Source organism: Homo sapiens, chromosome 8 (assembly GCF_000001405.40).
Source record: "Homo sapiens chromosome 8, GRCh38.p14 Primary Assembly".
Taxonomy (NCBI): Eukaryota; Metazoa; Chordata; class Mammalia; order Primates; family Hominidae; genus Homo; species Homo sapiens.
The window spans coordinates 100,915,801-100,932,853 of record NC_000008.11 but is presented as its reverse complement, the minus strand read 5'-3'; the positions used below and the strand labels follow the sequence as shown (position 1 = coordinate 100,932,853).

Below are 17,053 nucleotides of genomic sequence, written 5' to 3'. Positions count from 1 at the left end.
CTGAAACATTATTTTATTAATAGCCCTTAAATAGACATCTTTCAGTGAGGCAAAATGGGAAGTCCAGTGGTTGTCTCTAAGAAAAACACTTGCAGTTATTTGAATTGTGAGATAAACTAGCTGCTTTTCTTTTTTTATGGAACACTTTTTTCTTCAAAGAACTGCAGGCAGATAAGCTGTGGGTATTCAGACCTAGGTATTCGACAAATATCTTAAATGAATTGAGCCTCTCACTTTAAGGGAAAATGATATTTTTGACAGATAAAATTGAAGCTTTGGAGCAAAAATGAGAACTTTGGAAAATAATTACTACCACCATGATCTTAGTTTTCTACTTTTTTATGACTGTAAAAGTGTCTTGAGACAAACTTTTAAGCCATAAATTTGAAGTATTGTTACCGTTTAGGGTTTTTTCCTAGAAAATGTACCTATTTATAGAGGTAGTATATATGTACCATGGTTGGGAGAAATAAGGTAATATTACTTAAATATTAGGAAATTATTTCACATAAGAGGGAGTTCAGAGCTAAGGTGGTTTTTGGGTGGGTGAGTGGGTGGGTTAAGATCAGTTACTGCAGTACAAACAGTACTTGAAGTCTAATGTGGTTGACACTAGACTTTCACCTTCCAAAAGGATGGCAGCACTTCTTTGTTGCTTACTATTTGCCAGACTCTGCTAAATGCTTATTATATGTTAATTCATTTAATCCTTACAACAACCTTGTGCATTATGTCTACTACTAATATTTGCCTTTTACAGATGAGAATCTGAGACCCAGGAAGATTTCAGAGTTTTGTCAAGGTGACAGAGTTTGAATTTAGGCAGTAAGCAGTCTGTCTCCATAGTTTGTGTTCCTAACAAGTCTGTTGTTTAAAAAGAGAAAATAAATACTAAAGGAAATGTTCTTTTTTTCTTTTGTTCTTTTTTCTTTTGTTCTTTGATATGTCTTAATCCTGTGTTTTTGAATGAAAACTTTTTTGCATCCTACTTCACCATTTTTCCTAGTTATACAAATTTTAGATTACCAAAGCCAAAATGATGTACTTAAGAGTACAAGAGCACTAAAGCAGATTTTTGAATGTCAGAATCTCCATACTTTATTTTCACATAACTGAGCAACCAGTGAGTAGAATGCCTACTCTCGGTTGGGAGCTGTGAATGGTGCCCTCCTGTTTATATGTTCATTTAGACCTCATAACAGCCTTTTGATGTGGATTTTCATATAGATGAGAAAATAAAGATTAGCTATTGTGTAAATTCTCAAAATTAATGGGTTAGGGTGGAATTTCAAGTCTGCCTGGTTTTAGAGTTTATACGATTTGCATTACATCAAGCTTTTCTTCTAACAAGTGTTGAATGCCCGAAAGGTTAAAGTCTTGCCACCAGCTCAGGCAGCAGTTTTGGTGGTTTAGGGGTAATCATACTGAAAGACCAGTGAGAAAGGCATATCACTAGAGATAGATTCTCAGTTCATTAACTTTTCATTAGGAATATTTGACTACAGGCAGGAGTGAGTGTTTATAAAATTCATATTAGTGGGATCAGGTTGAGTCTATGCCAAGAAGGGATCAGAAACAGATGACCTGTCAATTTATGTGGTTCCTTAATTTTAATAGACTTAATTTTAAAGACAAAACATCATTGTAAATATAGACTATCTTTGGATTAAGGCATCTTTTGGAAACTGGCTTGGGAGGAAAAATGTTATTTGAACCCCATCTCTTGGAAGTGTTTTCACAATCTAAGAGGTTAATTATACTACGGTGCAGTAGAGAGAAAAATCTCTTTTATCTCTAAAATCTCAAATTTCATGTAATTTACCTGTTGGTTAGGTTAAGGATTAGTGTCCTCTCTTCAGAGCCCATATCACATATTTAACTCTGGATTAGGAGCTGTTTACCAAAGAGTATTAGATACCGGCTTCTTGTGGCATTTTGCTGCTGAGTAAATGATTTCTTATCCCACTTAATATTATTAGGGTGAATGCTGTATAAATGCATTAACTCTAATTCAGCAAATTAATCTTGGGTATTTTCTAAAATGTTGGCCATGATATCTTTAAAAGACAGTGGCTGTCATGAAAAAACATATTTAAAAGTTAATGGGAGCAGGGCAAGCTATGATGGGGCCACTGCATTCCAGCCTGTGTGACAGAGCAAGACCTCATCTCTAAATAAAAATTAAAAAAATTAATGGGAGGGAAAAAAGTAAAACTTACATCCACATTTTGAAGTAAACTGAGGAAATACTGTGGATTTCTAAATGAGATTATATTTCAGGAAGATTCAACAGATTAACATTTAGCCTTGATTTAGCTTGAGTGTAGGATGTGCTTGAATTTTGTTTGACCTCAAAACCATTTAGATTTGGTTTAAAAACTTAAGGTACTGTGATAATTGAAAAATTTTACAAGTTGAACCTTCAGTCAACCTAGCCCTTGTTTTACAGTTGGAGTTGGCTGGGCGCGGTGGCTCACACCTGTAATCCCAGCACTTTGGGAGGCTGAGGCAGGTGGATCATGAGGTCAGGAGTTCAAGACTAGCCTGGCCAATGCAGTGAAACCCTGTCTCTACTAAAAATACAAAAATTAGCTGGGTGTGATGGCATGTGCCTGCAGTCCCGGCTACTCGGGAGACTGAGGCAGAAGAATCACTTGAACCGGGGAGGCTGAGGTTGCAGTGAGCCAAGATCACACCACTGAACTCCAGCCTGGGCGACAGAGCGAGACTTCGTTCTAAATACGGTTGAAATTGTGACACTTAGTGTATACTTCCTTATATTATGGTGTGCCCACTCCCTCCCCTTTTTACTTCAGACTTTATTTCAGTCATGATTGCTTTCATTGTACTATTGTAGGTGAACGAAATTTAGGAGGTTTATTTCTGTGTTGAGCAGGATATTCTCTGAAGTTATTGCATATTTTGAAAGTAGCTATCAGCCCTTTCCTCCCTTCCATTCTCTACTTGGTGCACCTCCATGTTTTTTTCTGCTTTGTTGTAACTGCTGCTTCCTTTTTCTTTTGTTCTTTTATTCATTTTTTTCTATTCTTCCTACATTGGGTTTTATCTTCTGGCTTCCAAATCTGGAAAACTTGGATTTGTTATTCTTCGGTCAGTTTGACAAAGCAACATACTTAATTGCCTCTTTTATGTTACCATTAAATTAATTCTGTGAACTCTGACTTCCCTTAGAATTGAAAAAGACCACGTGTACAAAAATCCGGTTAGATAGTAGAAATAAGTTCTAGTATTCAATAGTACAGTAGGGAAATTATAGTTAACATTTATTTATTCTACCAAAGTAGCTAGAAGAATTGCAGTGCTCCTAACACAAATAGAAGATCAATGTTTGAGGCCAGGTGCAGTGGCTTTACGCCTGTATTCCCAGCACTTTGGGAGGCTGAGGCAGGTGGATCACCTGAAGTCAGAAGTTCAAGACCAGCCTGGCCAACATGGCGAAACCCCATTGGTACTAAAGATACAAAAGTTAGCTGGGTATGGTGGCACATGCCTGTAATCCCAGCTACTCAGGAGGCCAAGGCAGGAGAAACGCTTGAACTCAGGAGGAGGAGGTTGCAGTGAGCCGACATTGCGCCACTGCACCCCAGCCTGGGTGCCAGAGCAAGACTGTCTCAAAAAAAAAAAAAAAAAATCAATGTTTGAGGTGATGGATATCCCAGTTACTCTGATTTGATCATTATATATTGTATGCATGTATCAATATCACATGCACCCCCAAAATATTTACAACTATTTTGTCAATTAAAATTTTTTTAAAAGAAACAGATGACATCTTCTTTATGAATCTCCTCTACAAAATACCTAAGTTACCCTCTTTAGTTTCCTGTTTTACCTTTATGTGAAAAGAGGGAATTCACTGAGCAGGTTCCAGTACTGGACCACTCATAAGTTTTCTCATACTGAACAGAAATCTTCCCTCTTGCTAAATTTAATTGGTCTTGTCTCTTGGAGCCATTCATGTCCTGTTCTTTCCATTATCCTGACAGTTTCTAGTATACTCGCCATAACTTTGATTCCTGATTGTGGAATAACGTCCTTTCTAGTAGGTATATCACCCCATTGAGGCTGAGAATATGTTCCTTTTTTTTTTTTTCTTTTTAAGACGGAGTTTCACTCTTGTTGCCCAGGCTGGAGTGCAATGGCGCAATCTCAGCTCACTGCAACCTCTGCCTCCCGGGTTCAAGTGATTCTCCTGCCTCAGCCTCCTGAGTACCTGGGATTCCAGGCGTGTGCCACCACGCCTGGCTAATTTTTTGTATTTTTGGTAGAGACGAGGTTTTACCGTGTTGGCCAGGCTGGTCTCGAACTCCTGACCTCAGGTGATCCACCCGCCTCAGCCTCCCAAAGTGCTGGGATTATAGGCATGAACCACCACACCTGGCAGAAAATGTTCTTTTATAGTTAGCTTTTTTTGAGCTACAGTGTTAGCCCCTTTAAATTTAATCTTTAATCCAGTCTTGCTTGGTTTTGGGTTTTTAAATCTTAATTAGCTTATGTCATTGGACGATTTATTAGAAGTAGGCCATTTATGCCTTTCTCAACTCTTTTTTTTTGAGACGGAGTCTCACTCTGTTGCCCAGGCTGGAGTGCAGTGGCACTATCTCAGCTCACTGCAAGCTCCGCCTCCCGGGTTCACACTGTTCTCCTGCCTCAGTCTCCCGAGTAGCTGGGACTACAGGCGCCCGCCACCACACCTGGCTAATTTTTTCTTTTTGTAGTAGAGACCGGGGTTTCACCTTGTTAGCCAGGATGGCCTCGATCTCCTGACCTCGTGATCCGCCCACCTCAGCCTCCCAAAGTGTTGGGATTACAGGCGTGAGCCACCATGCCCAGCCACCTTTCTCAACTCTTATGGTCAGCATCTCACCAGAAACACTTGCCACTTGTTTGGTTCTTTTGGTCTATCATTAGGCCAGTAAGCAGCCTGACTGCTGTTTACCCAGCCCTCCTGTTACTTGTGGGTTCTAACAAATAGCTTTAAAGTTGTTTTATGGTTAATTCAGTGTTCAGCTTTGGGGAAAGAAGTGCTTAACTGCCATTTTAATTCCCAGGGAACTGCTTAGTTCAGCATATTACCCAGGTAGAAAGTTACTACCTACAAAAGATAGATTACTACTTTTAGTAGCATTTATCAACACCTTTCCTAAAAAAATTTAAGTTTTTAGTACAGCTTTAAAATTTTACATCTTAAGTGACTGGTTCACTCTTAAGTAACTGCATGTGTTTATGGCCTTCATCTCTGCATACATAGAGGGGGTTAAAGTTACCGAAAAGTGAAAGACGTGATTAGGCAGTGTTACTCTTTTTGAGACAGCCTCACTGTCACCCTGTCCTAGAGTACAGTGGTATAATTCAATTACAGATCACTGCAGCCTCAAACTCCTGGACTCAGATGATCCTCCTGTCTCAGCCTTCCAAGTAGCTGGGACTATAGGGGTGTGCCACCACACCTGGTTAACTTTTAAATTTTTTTGTAGAGGCAGGATCTCATGTTCACCGGGGTGGTCTCAAACTCCTGGACTCAAGAAGTGATCCTCCCACCTCAGCCTCCCAAAGTGTTGGGATTACAGGAGTGAGCCACCGTGCCCTGCAATTCTTGTAAAGTGTATTGTAATGGAAGGAATGATAGCCTTGTCTCTACAGCTAGATTATGAATTACCAGAATATTGTGCTTCCAGCTTCTAGCATGGTGTCTGGTGTTATTGTGATAATAGAAATAAAATTTTAAGTGCTTACTCCTAAGTGCTTACCTGTATTTTTTCTCAATAATCTTAGAGGTCTCTGCCTTACAGGTGAGATAACTGAATCATTGAGATTAAGTAGTTCACACGGTGTATAGTGCTGTAATTCAAAACCAGACTCACCCCAAAGCCACTTATGTTTATACCATCTCCCATAGTTGAATGAATAATACAATTTGTGTAACAATGAAACTTTTGAAAATCCTGGTCATTTGTTTCTTAAAACCATTGTTTTTAAGTGGAAAGACTCACTTGACTATTTTAAATGCAAGTGTCTTCCACTGTTTGAGGCAGATCTCCACAGAGCAACCATAGGTGGTAAAAAGCATTGTATTCAAAGGACAAAACACTTTTGCAGCTAAGAGAACTTTGAATATGAAAGTATGAATGTGGTGTAAGACAGAGGTTGCTATCCTAACCAAAACGTTCTTCTGATTTCCGGCCAGTAATTTTATTTTATTTTTATTTATTTTGAGATGGAGTCTTGCTCTGTCATCCAGGCTGCAGTGCAGTGGTGCAACCTCGGCTCACTGCAGCCTCTATCTCTCGGGCTCAAGCAGTTCTCCTGCCTCAGCTGGGATTACAGGCGCCCGTCACCACGCCTGGCTAATTTTTGTATTTTTAGTAGAGACAGGGTTTCACCATGTTGACGAGGCTCACCTCAAGTGATCCTGCCACCCTAGCCTCCCAGAGTGCTGGGATTACTGGCATGAGCCACTGTGCCCGGCCTCAGGCCAGTATTTTTAAATATCGGTTAATAATTGCAGGAAACATCATTTCAGGTTGACTTTTCTCACCTTTAACCTCTTTATATAGCACAGTGCAATCTGGCCCTACTGCCACTTCATCTGGGTTATCTGTAGCTTGAGTTGTAAAAAAAAAAAAAAAAAAAATTGGGGGAAGAAGTTGGGTTAAAACTGTTCACCTACCCAGCATTGGAACATAATGGGTAAACAAAAAGTTGGAGTTACCATTTAAAAGCATTTTTCAAATTTATATTTTATATATAAGTAGGTGCTATATAAACTAATACTTTTTTTTTGTAAGAATGGATTTGGAATTTAGCTCAGCTGAAAATTGACTTCACCTTGATTCTCAGAGTGTACTTGAACTTTAAAGGAAGTGGGGTAGTGAGAATGGGTGGTTGGGGTTTTTTTGCTTTAATGTTTACCTAATTCTACTACTAGAATTATTTTTCTCCCCCTTAACTGGAAAGAAAAAAATTACACATTTATTGAGACTTCTTCCCATCCCCAACACAATGATCTAATCTTTTTGCTTTAAAATCAGTTAAAGAGTGTAATTTTTAAAATCCTAATCAAATGACTCAGATTGTAATAGTAGTTTTAGACAGAATTTTATAGGATGATGTTTTAATTTTATCTGTTGTCTGGGATGATCTGTAATCGTGTATCTTACTAGCCGAAAATGACTTCAATGAGATTAAAGGTCTGCTCTTTAAAATCTGTAAGTCTCCTACCACTGTCTTTAGGAAAAATAAAACTTTTGAACGGTTTTTTTATCTGTTGTGAGGTTTGCTTGAATTGTGTTGTTATAAATGAAGTTTATTTTGTTCCTCCTTCTCTGGCATGGACTCCTTAAGTGTCTTACATTATTGGTTTCTGCTTTAGTCATTTCTCCAGAGTCCCAAAAGGTTCATCCCGTATGTTCTTTCTATTTTCATGTCATGACCACATGAAACTTCAGATGGAAAGCTTGCCAGCTCATTAGAAAATGTTCCTAAATGTGAACGGTCATGCCCCACATTCATGAAGTCAGCATGTAAATAGATAACATTGTCAGGGACCAATGTTCAATTTTATTGTCCTCAAATAATAAACTGAACACTAACTTCAAACTTAAAATATTGCTGCCCAAAGCATTCTGCTTTAAACCACAAATTCATGTGCCAGCTGCATTCACAATTGTATTGACAGTGACTGGGTGTTTAAGTTTTATAACTTAGGCTATAGTTTGTTCTTTAAGAAATGCAAGTTCTTTCAGTTTTGTAAATGTTTTATTCTCACTATGTCTGTTTCTTTTCTTCTTAAGTCTCTTTTGGAAAAGTTCTTGATCCCCAATGCTTCACAAGCAGAGAGCAAAGTCTTCTATTTGAAAATGAAAGGAGATTACTACCGTTACTTGGCTGAGGTTGCCGCTGGTGATGACAAGAAAGGTATGCTGTTTTTAAACCTGTTGGTTGAACTTGTATAAGATAACATAGTGAGGAAGAGTCTCTGAAGCGTACATAATGTCTTGTTTTGAATTGCTTAGAGTGCCGAATAAGGAGTAGCAGTGCTCTTTGTGTTCTGAGAATACACATCTACTGCCTCATACTGCTATTCTAAAATAAATGCTTTCTGAAAAGCCAATATTGTGTACAGGGATGTTTTTTCAAGATTTTAAGAAAAGTGACCAGCCTGAGCAACATCTCTCTCTACAAAAAATATTTTGAAAATTAGCTGGGCATGGTGGTGCAAGCCTTTGGTCCCAGCTAATCTGGAGGCTGAGGTGGGAGGATTGCTTGGGTCTGGGATGTCAAAACTCGTCAATTTTTTAAAAACATAACAATAATGAGATTATAAAGTTGTTTTATCTTGACATTGATCAATGGCTAGTGTGTACCAGGAGAAAGCTCCCTTTAAAAAAAAAAAAGGACCTTGTTCAATTAACAAATATTAAGCTGTTACAGGTTAGTATTTCAAAGGATATGTGAGATATTAAAGGTTTGGTTTGAGGGGTGAAGATATAATGCACACTTTATCTCAGTACGTTTTGGTGTGTCTTATCCAGGGATTGTCGATCAGTCACAACAAGCATACCAAGAAGCTTTTGAAATCAGCAAAAAGGAAATGCAACCAACACATCCTATCAGACTGGGTCTGGCCCTTAACTTCTCTGTGTTCTATTATGAGATTCTGAACTCCCCAGAGAAAGCCTGCTCTCTTGCAAAGACAGTATGTATTTTACCTGTTACGTAGAAATTTAGCAGTCTTTATTATTTGAGCACTGAAATGTAATGTACTATTTTTAAATCGTAGGCTTTTGATGAAGCCATTGCTGAACTTGATACATTAAGTGAAGAGTCATACAAAGACAGCACGCTAATAATGCAATTACTGAGAGACAACTTGACAGTAAGTACATAACAGCATCATTAGTGATGAATGTGGTTGAAGAGGTTATGTTTTACTCTAGGGAATTTTTTTTTTTATTAAATACATCTTTTAAAATTTTTTCTCAACACATTTCATAGGCTCTCATAAATATATCTCAGCTACTATTAAAGTCCTATGAAGGAAAATTACAGAAACTGAAATATTAGACTGAGAACTAAAAAATACACACATTGATGAGTTACCTGTCTTGTTAAAATTTGTTAGTATCAAAAGTGTGCTGAGACTCTACATGTTTTAGTTCCTTTAAGAATGATTTTCTTGCCCATCAAGTTGCCTCCATATTGGTAAAGATAATGGTAGGGAATTAATAACTTGAGTTACAAAATCTCAGGTATCTACAGAATCCAAGTGGAAGTCTATTTTGCCTAGCTTCTTATTTTAAATGACTTAATATGAAAGGTCGTGATTGTCCTTGGGATACTGCAGATGTATAAAAAGAAACAGTGTCACTATCACACCAGGAACATCAACATAATTCCCTAATAATGTTTGAATATCTAAATAATACTTGAATTCCAATTATCTCTCTTTTTTTAAGTTATTTGAATTGGGATTCAAATTCAGTCCACAATGCAGTTGATTTGTATGTCTCGTTTGTTTCTTAGGTCTTCTCATTCTTCTCCTTCAGATAAATACTAGATTTGAAATTTTGAGGCTTAGGTGAAAAAATTATCAAGCATTTGCTGTGTGTCAGGTAAAGAGGTAGGAATTGCAGATCATAATCTAGGTATTACTGTTTTTTTGTTAGACTTCTAGGGCCATTTCTCTTGGGGACTATGTAATCTCATTTTATACATTTCTCTTCCAACTTTATTCTAGTCCACTGCCATTTTCTATAAACCAGTTCTATATGCTAGTGCTGAAAATCTTGAAGAGTTTTTTGAATAGTATTGTATACTTGTTTATTAAACCTAAAATTACTTTATTAGCACAATTTGGAGCTATCTATAAACTTTTCTGATACTTGAGTCAAGATAACAAGCCACAGTAAAGAATGAAAGAATCTTATATATCAAACATAAGAAGCACTTTGTTAACTAACTTTAGTATTAAGGATTTTTCTTTTCTAGTTTGAAGTGATGACATTTTTAAAGTGATGACCTGAGACCTAGATACTGTGTTTTGTTCACATCACTTTTTGAGAGGCCCTGATCTACTGTCTGCTTCCAACTGAATTTTGCTATCAGTATAGCATGAAGAGCGCATATTGCAATAAGAAAACCAGGGTTGGCCGGGCGTGGTGGCTCACGCCTGTAATCCCAGCACTTTGGGAGGCCGAGGCGGGCGGATCACCAGGTCAGGAGTTCAGGAACAGCTTGGCCAAGATGGTGAAACCCCATCTCTACTAAAAATACAAAAATTAGCTGGGCATAGTGGTGGGCACCTGTAATCCCAGCTACTCGGGAGGCTGAGGAAGAGAATTGCTTGAACCCGGGAGGCAGAGGTTGCAGTGAGCTGAGATCACACCGCTACACTCCAGCCTGGGCAAAAGAGCGAGACTCTGTCTCAAAAAAAAAAAAAAAGAAAAGAAAAAACCAGGGTTTTGATTCTAATTCTGTCACTACTTGTATGTCTTCTCTGAGCCTTATTAGTGTCAGCTGTCACCATTATAGGTTGATTGGAACATTTATCTGTCAAGAAAAGAAATTATCCCAAAACTTAATATTTCATTCTGAATTTGGTTGACCAAGACTGTCAACACATTACTCTAGAAAAAGAAATATTTTGTATCAAATTTGCATGTTTATACAGAAAATTCAAGAATCCTTGAAAGTTAGAACAGGAAAGAGACATTAGAAACAATTTCATCTTGCAATTACAAAACCCCTTGTTTGACAGGAGGAGCACACAGTTTCCAAGAGGTCATTTGGCTATCTGTATGACCTTGGAAGTAGTCTCCTTTCCAGGCCAGAGATATATTTGCTTAGTAGATAAATGAAGCTAATGGATGATTTGGGGAATATAAAAATAATAATTAGTGTATTTTCCCCTTCCCCTCCGTTTTCATGTGTAAGTCATATATAAAATTTAAGATTGTCTTGAATCCTTTTGTAATTACCTCTGAAAATCACTAGAGAGTGGTTAAGACTTCAACATTTTTAACATTGGAGCAGGTGGAATAGAGTTCATAACCCTGCCACCTATGGGACAACTTTCATTTTTACCTGTTAAAAGATTTGGTTCTGGTTTTTGTCCAGCATTTATTTTGAATCATATGATAGGGTAGTGCAAAAGTAATTGAGGGTTTTGCCATTTAAAGTAATGGCAAGAGCTGCGATTACTTTTGCACCAACCTGATAAATAAAGGTTTGTTTTTCTAAGCTTAAAGTGTTAGAAAAGCTAGATTTGTAGTTTAGCTCAGAGTTGAGGCTGGTTCTTGAATTTCATGGAGTATAGGATTCTGTTTGGAGTGTGAGTCACTTTAAGATCTACCAGTGGAGAGTAGTCAACCCTAGCTCCTTCAGCATGGGCCAAATTAGATGCTTCTGGTATAGTTGCACTCACCTTGGACGTCCATCTTTCATATTGGGGCTCTTTAGGTTCTGACACCTATTGATGCTTAGTTTTTAAAAAATAATTTAGGGCCTGGGCACAGTGGCTCACACCTGTAATCTCACCACTTTGGGAGGCCGAGGTGGGTGGATCACGAGATCAGATCAAGACCATCTTGGCCAACATAGTGAAACCCCGTCTCTCCTAAAAATACAAAAATTAGATGGGTGTGGTGGCACATGCCTGTAGTCCCAGCTACTCAGGAGGCTGAGGCAGGAGAATCGCTTGAACCTGGGAGGCGGAGGGTTCATTGAGCCAAGATCACGCCACTGCACTCCAGCCTGGTGACAGAGCGAGACTCCATCTCAAAAAAAAAGTATTATTTCTTGTAATTTCTCTTCACCTTCTGTGGATAACCAAAACTTTCCTGTATCTGAAGGTTATTTGAAGGCAACTCTGTGGTGTACTTAACCTGCTTATATAGTGGTTACAAAAAAAGTAAATTTGTATATTGAGATGTTTTTGTATCTTGAAGCTAAGTGATGCTGCTATCTTTTTAAGAATGCTTTCCAACTAAAACATTCAGGTATCTTGGCACTTATATGAAAACGCCCCCCCCCCCCCATCCCACTGAAACTTGCTGAAAAATCTTTCCTTCTTTTACCAGTTGTGGACATCGGATACCCAAGGAGACGAAGCTGAAGCAGGAGAAGGAGGGGAAAATTAACCGGCCTTCCAACTTTTGTCTGCCTCATTCTAAAATTTACACAGTAGACCATTTGTCATCCATGCTGTCCCACAAATAGTTTTTTGTTTACGATTTATGACAGGTTTATGTTACTTCTATTTGAATTTCTATATTTCCCATGTGGTTTTTATGTTTAATATTAGGGGAGTAGAGCCAGTTAACATTTAGGGAGTTATCTGTTTTCATCTTGAGGTGGCCAATATGGGGATGTGGAATTTTTATACAAGTTATAAGTGTTTGGCATAGTACTTTTGGTACATTGTGGCTTCAAAAGGGCCAGTGTAAAACTGCTTCCATGTCTAAGCAAAGAAAACTGCCTACATACTGGTTTGTCCTGGCGGGGAATAAAAGGGATCATTGGTTCCAGTCACAGGTGTAGTAATTGTGGGTACTTTAAGGTTTGGAGCACTTACAAGGCTGTGGTAGAATCATACCCCATGGATACCACATATTAAACCATGTATATCTGTGGAATACTCAATGTGTACACCTTTGACTACAGCTGCAGAAGTGTTCCTTTAGACAAAGTTGTGACCCATTTTACTCTGGATAAGGGCAGAAACGGTTCACATTCCATTATTTGTAAAGTTACCTGCTGTTAGCTTTCATTATTTTTGCTACACTCATTTTATTTGTATTTAAATGTTTTAGGCAACCTAAGAACAAATGTAAAAGTAAAGATGCAGGAAAAATGAATTGCTTGGTATTCATTACTTCATGTATATCAAGCACAGCAGTAAAACAAAAACCCATGTATTTAACTTTTTTTTAGGATTTTTGCTTTTGTGATTTTTTTTTTTTTGATACTTGCCTAACATGCATGTGCTGTAAAAATAGTTAACAGGGAAATAACTTGAGATGATGGCTAGCTTTGTTTAATGTCTTATGAAATTTTCATGAACAATCCAAGCATAATTGTTAAGAACACGTGTATTAAATTCATGTAAGTGGAATAAAAGTTTTATGAATGGACTTTTCAACTACTTTCTCTACAGCTTTTCATGTAAATTAGTCTTGGTTCTGAAACTTCTCTAAAGGAAATTGTACATTTTTTGAAATTTATTCCTTATTCCCTCTTGGCAGCTAATGGGCTCTTACCAAGTTTAAACACAAAATTTATCATAACAAAAATACTACTAATATAACTACTGTTTCCATGTCCCATGATCCCCTCTCTTCCTCCCCACCCTGAAAAAAATGAGTTCCTATTTTTTCTGGGAGAGGGGGGGATTGATTAGAAAAAAATGTAGTGTGTTCCATTTAAAATTTTGGCATATGGCATTTTCTAACTTAGGAAGCCACAATGTTCTTGGCCCATCATGACATTGGGTAGCATTAACTGTAAGTTTTGTGCTTCCAAATCACTTTTTGGTTTTTAAGAATTTCTTGATACTCTTATAGCCTGCCTTCAATTTTGATCCTTTATTCTTTCTATTTGTCAGGTGCACAAGATTACCTTCCTGTTTTAGCCTTCTGTCTTGTCACCAACCATTCTTACTTGGTGGCCATGTACTTGGAAAAAGGCCGCATGATCTTTCTGGCTCCACTCAGTGTCTAAGGCACCCTGCTTCCTTTGCTTGCATCCCACAGACTATTTCCCTCATCCTATTTACTGCAGCAAATCTCTCCTTAGTTGATGAGACTGTGTTTATCTCCCTTTAAAACCCTACCTATCCTGAATGGTCTGTCATTGTCTGCCTTTAAAATCCTTCCTCTTTCTTCCTCCTCTATTCTCTAAATAATGATGGGGCTAAGTTATACCCAAAGCTCACTTTACAAAATATTTCCTCAGTACTTTGCAGAAAACACCAAACAAAAATGCCATTTTAAAAAAGGTGTATTTTTTCTTTTAGAATGTAAGCTCCTCAAGAGCAGGGACAATGTTTTCTGTATGTTCTATTGTGCCTAGTACACTGTAAATGCTCAATAAATATTGATGATGGGAGGCAGTGAGTCTTGATGATAAGGGTGAGAAACTGAAATCCCAAACACTGTTTTGTTGCTTGTTTTATTATGACCTCAGATTAAATTGGGAAATATTGGCCCTTTTGAATAATTGTCCCAAATATTACATTCAAATAAAAGTGCAATGGAGACCTTGGGGTCTTTATTTCCAGGAGAAAAGATACCTTCTGCATCTAGGGCAACAATCCTTTTCCCTCGCAGCTCTTTCTTTTACCTCACTTACTGATTTCTCCTGACCCCCAAGCCAAGGAGGTAAAATAATTATATATATATATATATATATATATATATATATATAAAGTAATTATATTTTATAGCTAGACTGAAGAGGTGGGAATTTTTTTGTTGTTTTTTTTTTTTTTGGAGACAAGAGTCTTGCTCTGTCACCCAGGCTTGAGTGCAGTGGTGCGATCTCGGCTGAGTGCAACCTCCGCCTGCTGGGTTCAAGCGATTCTCCTGCCTCAGCCTCCCAAGTAGCTGGGATTACAGGTGCCCGCCACCACACCTGGCTAATTTTTGTGTTTTTAGTAGAGACAGGGTTTCACCATGTTGTCCAGGCTGGTCTTGAATTCCCGACCTCAGGCAATCCGCCCATCTCAACCTCCCAAAGTGCTGGGATTACAGGCATAAGCCACCGCGCCCAGTAGAGATGTGATATTATTCAAGTAAATAAAACCTGAAACTTGGCACATTTGCCTATTTAATGTGCATCAGTCATCTGAACTAGGTTGATCCTGGAATAATGAAAACACTTCACTAGTATTAACTAATGTTTTCTACATAGTAGTTCCCAATAGATTAAGGAAAATTTCCAACCTGAGATTCTTTGTTTTGGAATTTGAATAATGTGTTTGTAACTATTCCTTGATTGTCCCAAATCCAGGCTTTACGTCTGCTTTTGTCAATGTAACATCCTAGTGCCAGGAAATTGGAAAATCCAATGACTTTTTGTGTGTAAAGTACTGGAATTTTTTTGTTCGTTTGTTTTTAAGACGGAGTGTCAACTCTCGCCCAGGCTGGGGTGCAGTGGCCTGATCTCGGCTCACTGCAACCTTCTCCTCCCAGGCTGAAGTGATTCTCCTGCCTCAGCCTCGCAAGTAGCTGGGACTGCAGGCATGTGCCACCACTCCTGGCTAATTATTTGTATTTTTAGTAGAGAGAGGGTTTCACCGTGTTAGCCATGATGGTCTCATTCTCCTGACCTTGTGATCCGCCCACCTCGGCCTCCCAAAGTGCTGGGATTACAGGCGTGAGCCACTGTGCCCACCCTGGTATGTTTTTTTTAAATTGGCCACTTAAGAGTTGTCCTTCAGAAAGTGGAGCAGCAGTGTGATTAGTAAAAACGATGGGCTTTCCTGCAGCTCTGGCTTATGGTCTTTGTTTTTCCAGTTAACAGCTGTTACTTCATGCTGTTATAGGGGGTGGGGGGAGAAAGAGAAAGAATATGTCTAGTGGCTTAATTTTGGGGCTCAATTTGTTTATTATGTTTTTCCTGCAAAAGAGTCACCAGTCTTGTCATGGCTCAATGCATATTTTAAAATGAGTCAAAGCCAATTTGGAAGCTGCTATCTTAGGTTATTTGTAGTCAGGCTTCAAATGGAGAGTGAAACTTTGACTTTGAAAACTGGTGCTCTATGCTCAATGATGGTCTTACACATTCCTCTAGGGAAAGGTCAAGAAATAAATTTGGCTTGATTGTATTCTCTCATTTACCATATAGGAAATACTATGGTAGAACTGAAAATATGTACAATAGTAAAGTGGTGGCTGAGACTGGGCACTTGGAAAATAGACTTGGATTCTTTTCTAAGTGTGAAACTAATTAAATACTTTTATGTGACTGGTAGTAGTCACAGTCTCCTTGATTGATTCTAGTTCCTTTTCAAAGTGGAGAGACCTGAATATAGATTGTAACAGGATGTCCAACCTTGCCAGACAAGCAGGCATATATGTCTCTGGGATGCAGAAGCAGTTACAAGTTAATATATTTAAGCATAATGTTAGCCAATCCTAGGTGATACCAGAGATGTGAATATTTGATCATATTTGAGTTCATTCCTTGAAAGTCCAAACCTAACTGGTCTTAATTGATTACTTCTTAGTATTCCGAATTTTAGAATTTAAAACCCTATGAATTTTCAGTTTGTGCTTACATTTTCTAACATTGGATGTTTGCTTTGGCCAGCTGCTGTTCTGTGTGTTTTCTTACAAAGGCTTAGAGATTCTGGCTGGGTGTGGTGGCTCACGCCTGTAATCCCAGCACTTTGGGAGGCTGAGGCGGGTGGATCACCTGAGGTCAGGTGTTTGAGACCAGCCTGGCCAACATGGTGAGACCCCATCTCTACTAAAAATACAAAAAATTTAGCCGGGCATGGTGGTGCGTGCCTGTAATCCCAGCTCCTCGGGAGGCTGAGGCAGGAGAATTGCTTGAACCCGAGAGGCGGACGTTGCAGTGAGCCAAGATCATGCCATTGTACTCCAGCCTGGGCAACAAGAGCAAAACTCTGTCAAAAAAAAAAAGGGCGGGGGGCGCTTAGAGATTCATGTTTGAGTGAAGATTTGCAGAATGGGACCCAAATGGATATACAGCACAATCAAGATGCAGGGAATTAAGAACTTAACATGTGCTTGTAGGTTTGGGTTTGGGGGCTATGTGGGAGTATAAAAAATAGGCTATGTCTAGACTCCCGAGGGGAACTCGTTTTAAATGCCTATTCTCAGCATTCAGTTTCAAGAATTCTGAATATTTAGGTTGGAGCCCAGGAATATGCATTTTCTTAGCCAAAACTCCCATGGTTATTAATGATGCAGTTGTCCATGCAGCTGATGTCTGTAGGGGGAGGAGAAACACAGATGGGAAAAATGCAAGACTACAATTTAAGCCAAAAAAAAAAAAGGGGGCTTTT

The 17,053-nt window shown here is 38.5% G+C and overlaps 1 protein-coding gene across 10 annotated transcripts in view; it reads left to right on the top strand.

The window, feature by feature from the left end:
* YWHAZ (tyrosine 3-monooxygenase/tryptophan 5-monooxygenase activation protein zeta) overlaps window positions 1–16,331 on the top strand; it is a 36,860-nt gene extending 20,529 nt beyond the window's left edge. For all 10 annotated transcript variants that reach the window (NM_003406.4, XM_017013810.3, XM_005251061.4 and 7 more), the window contains 4 exons: window positions 7,815–7,938; window positions 8,556–8,719; window positions 8,804–8,899; window positions 12,102–16,331. In NM_003406.4, the coding sequence (NP_003397.1) occupies window positions 7,815–7,938; window positions 8,556–8,719; window positions 8,804–8,899; window positions 12,102–12,161 (444 nt within the window). In that variant the 3' untranslated portion in view covers window positions 12,162–16,331. The remainder of the gene's footprint in view (window positions 1–7,814; window positions 7,939–8,555; window positions 8,720–8,803; window positions 8,900–12,101) is intronic.
* Window positions 16,332–17,053: the final 722 nt, after the last annotated feature.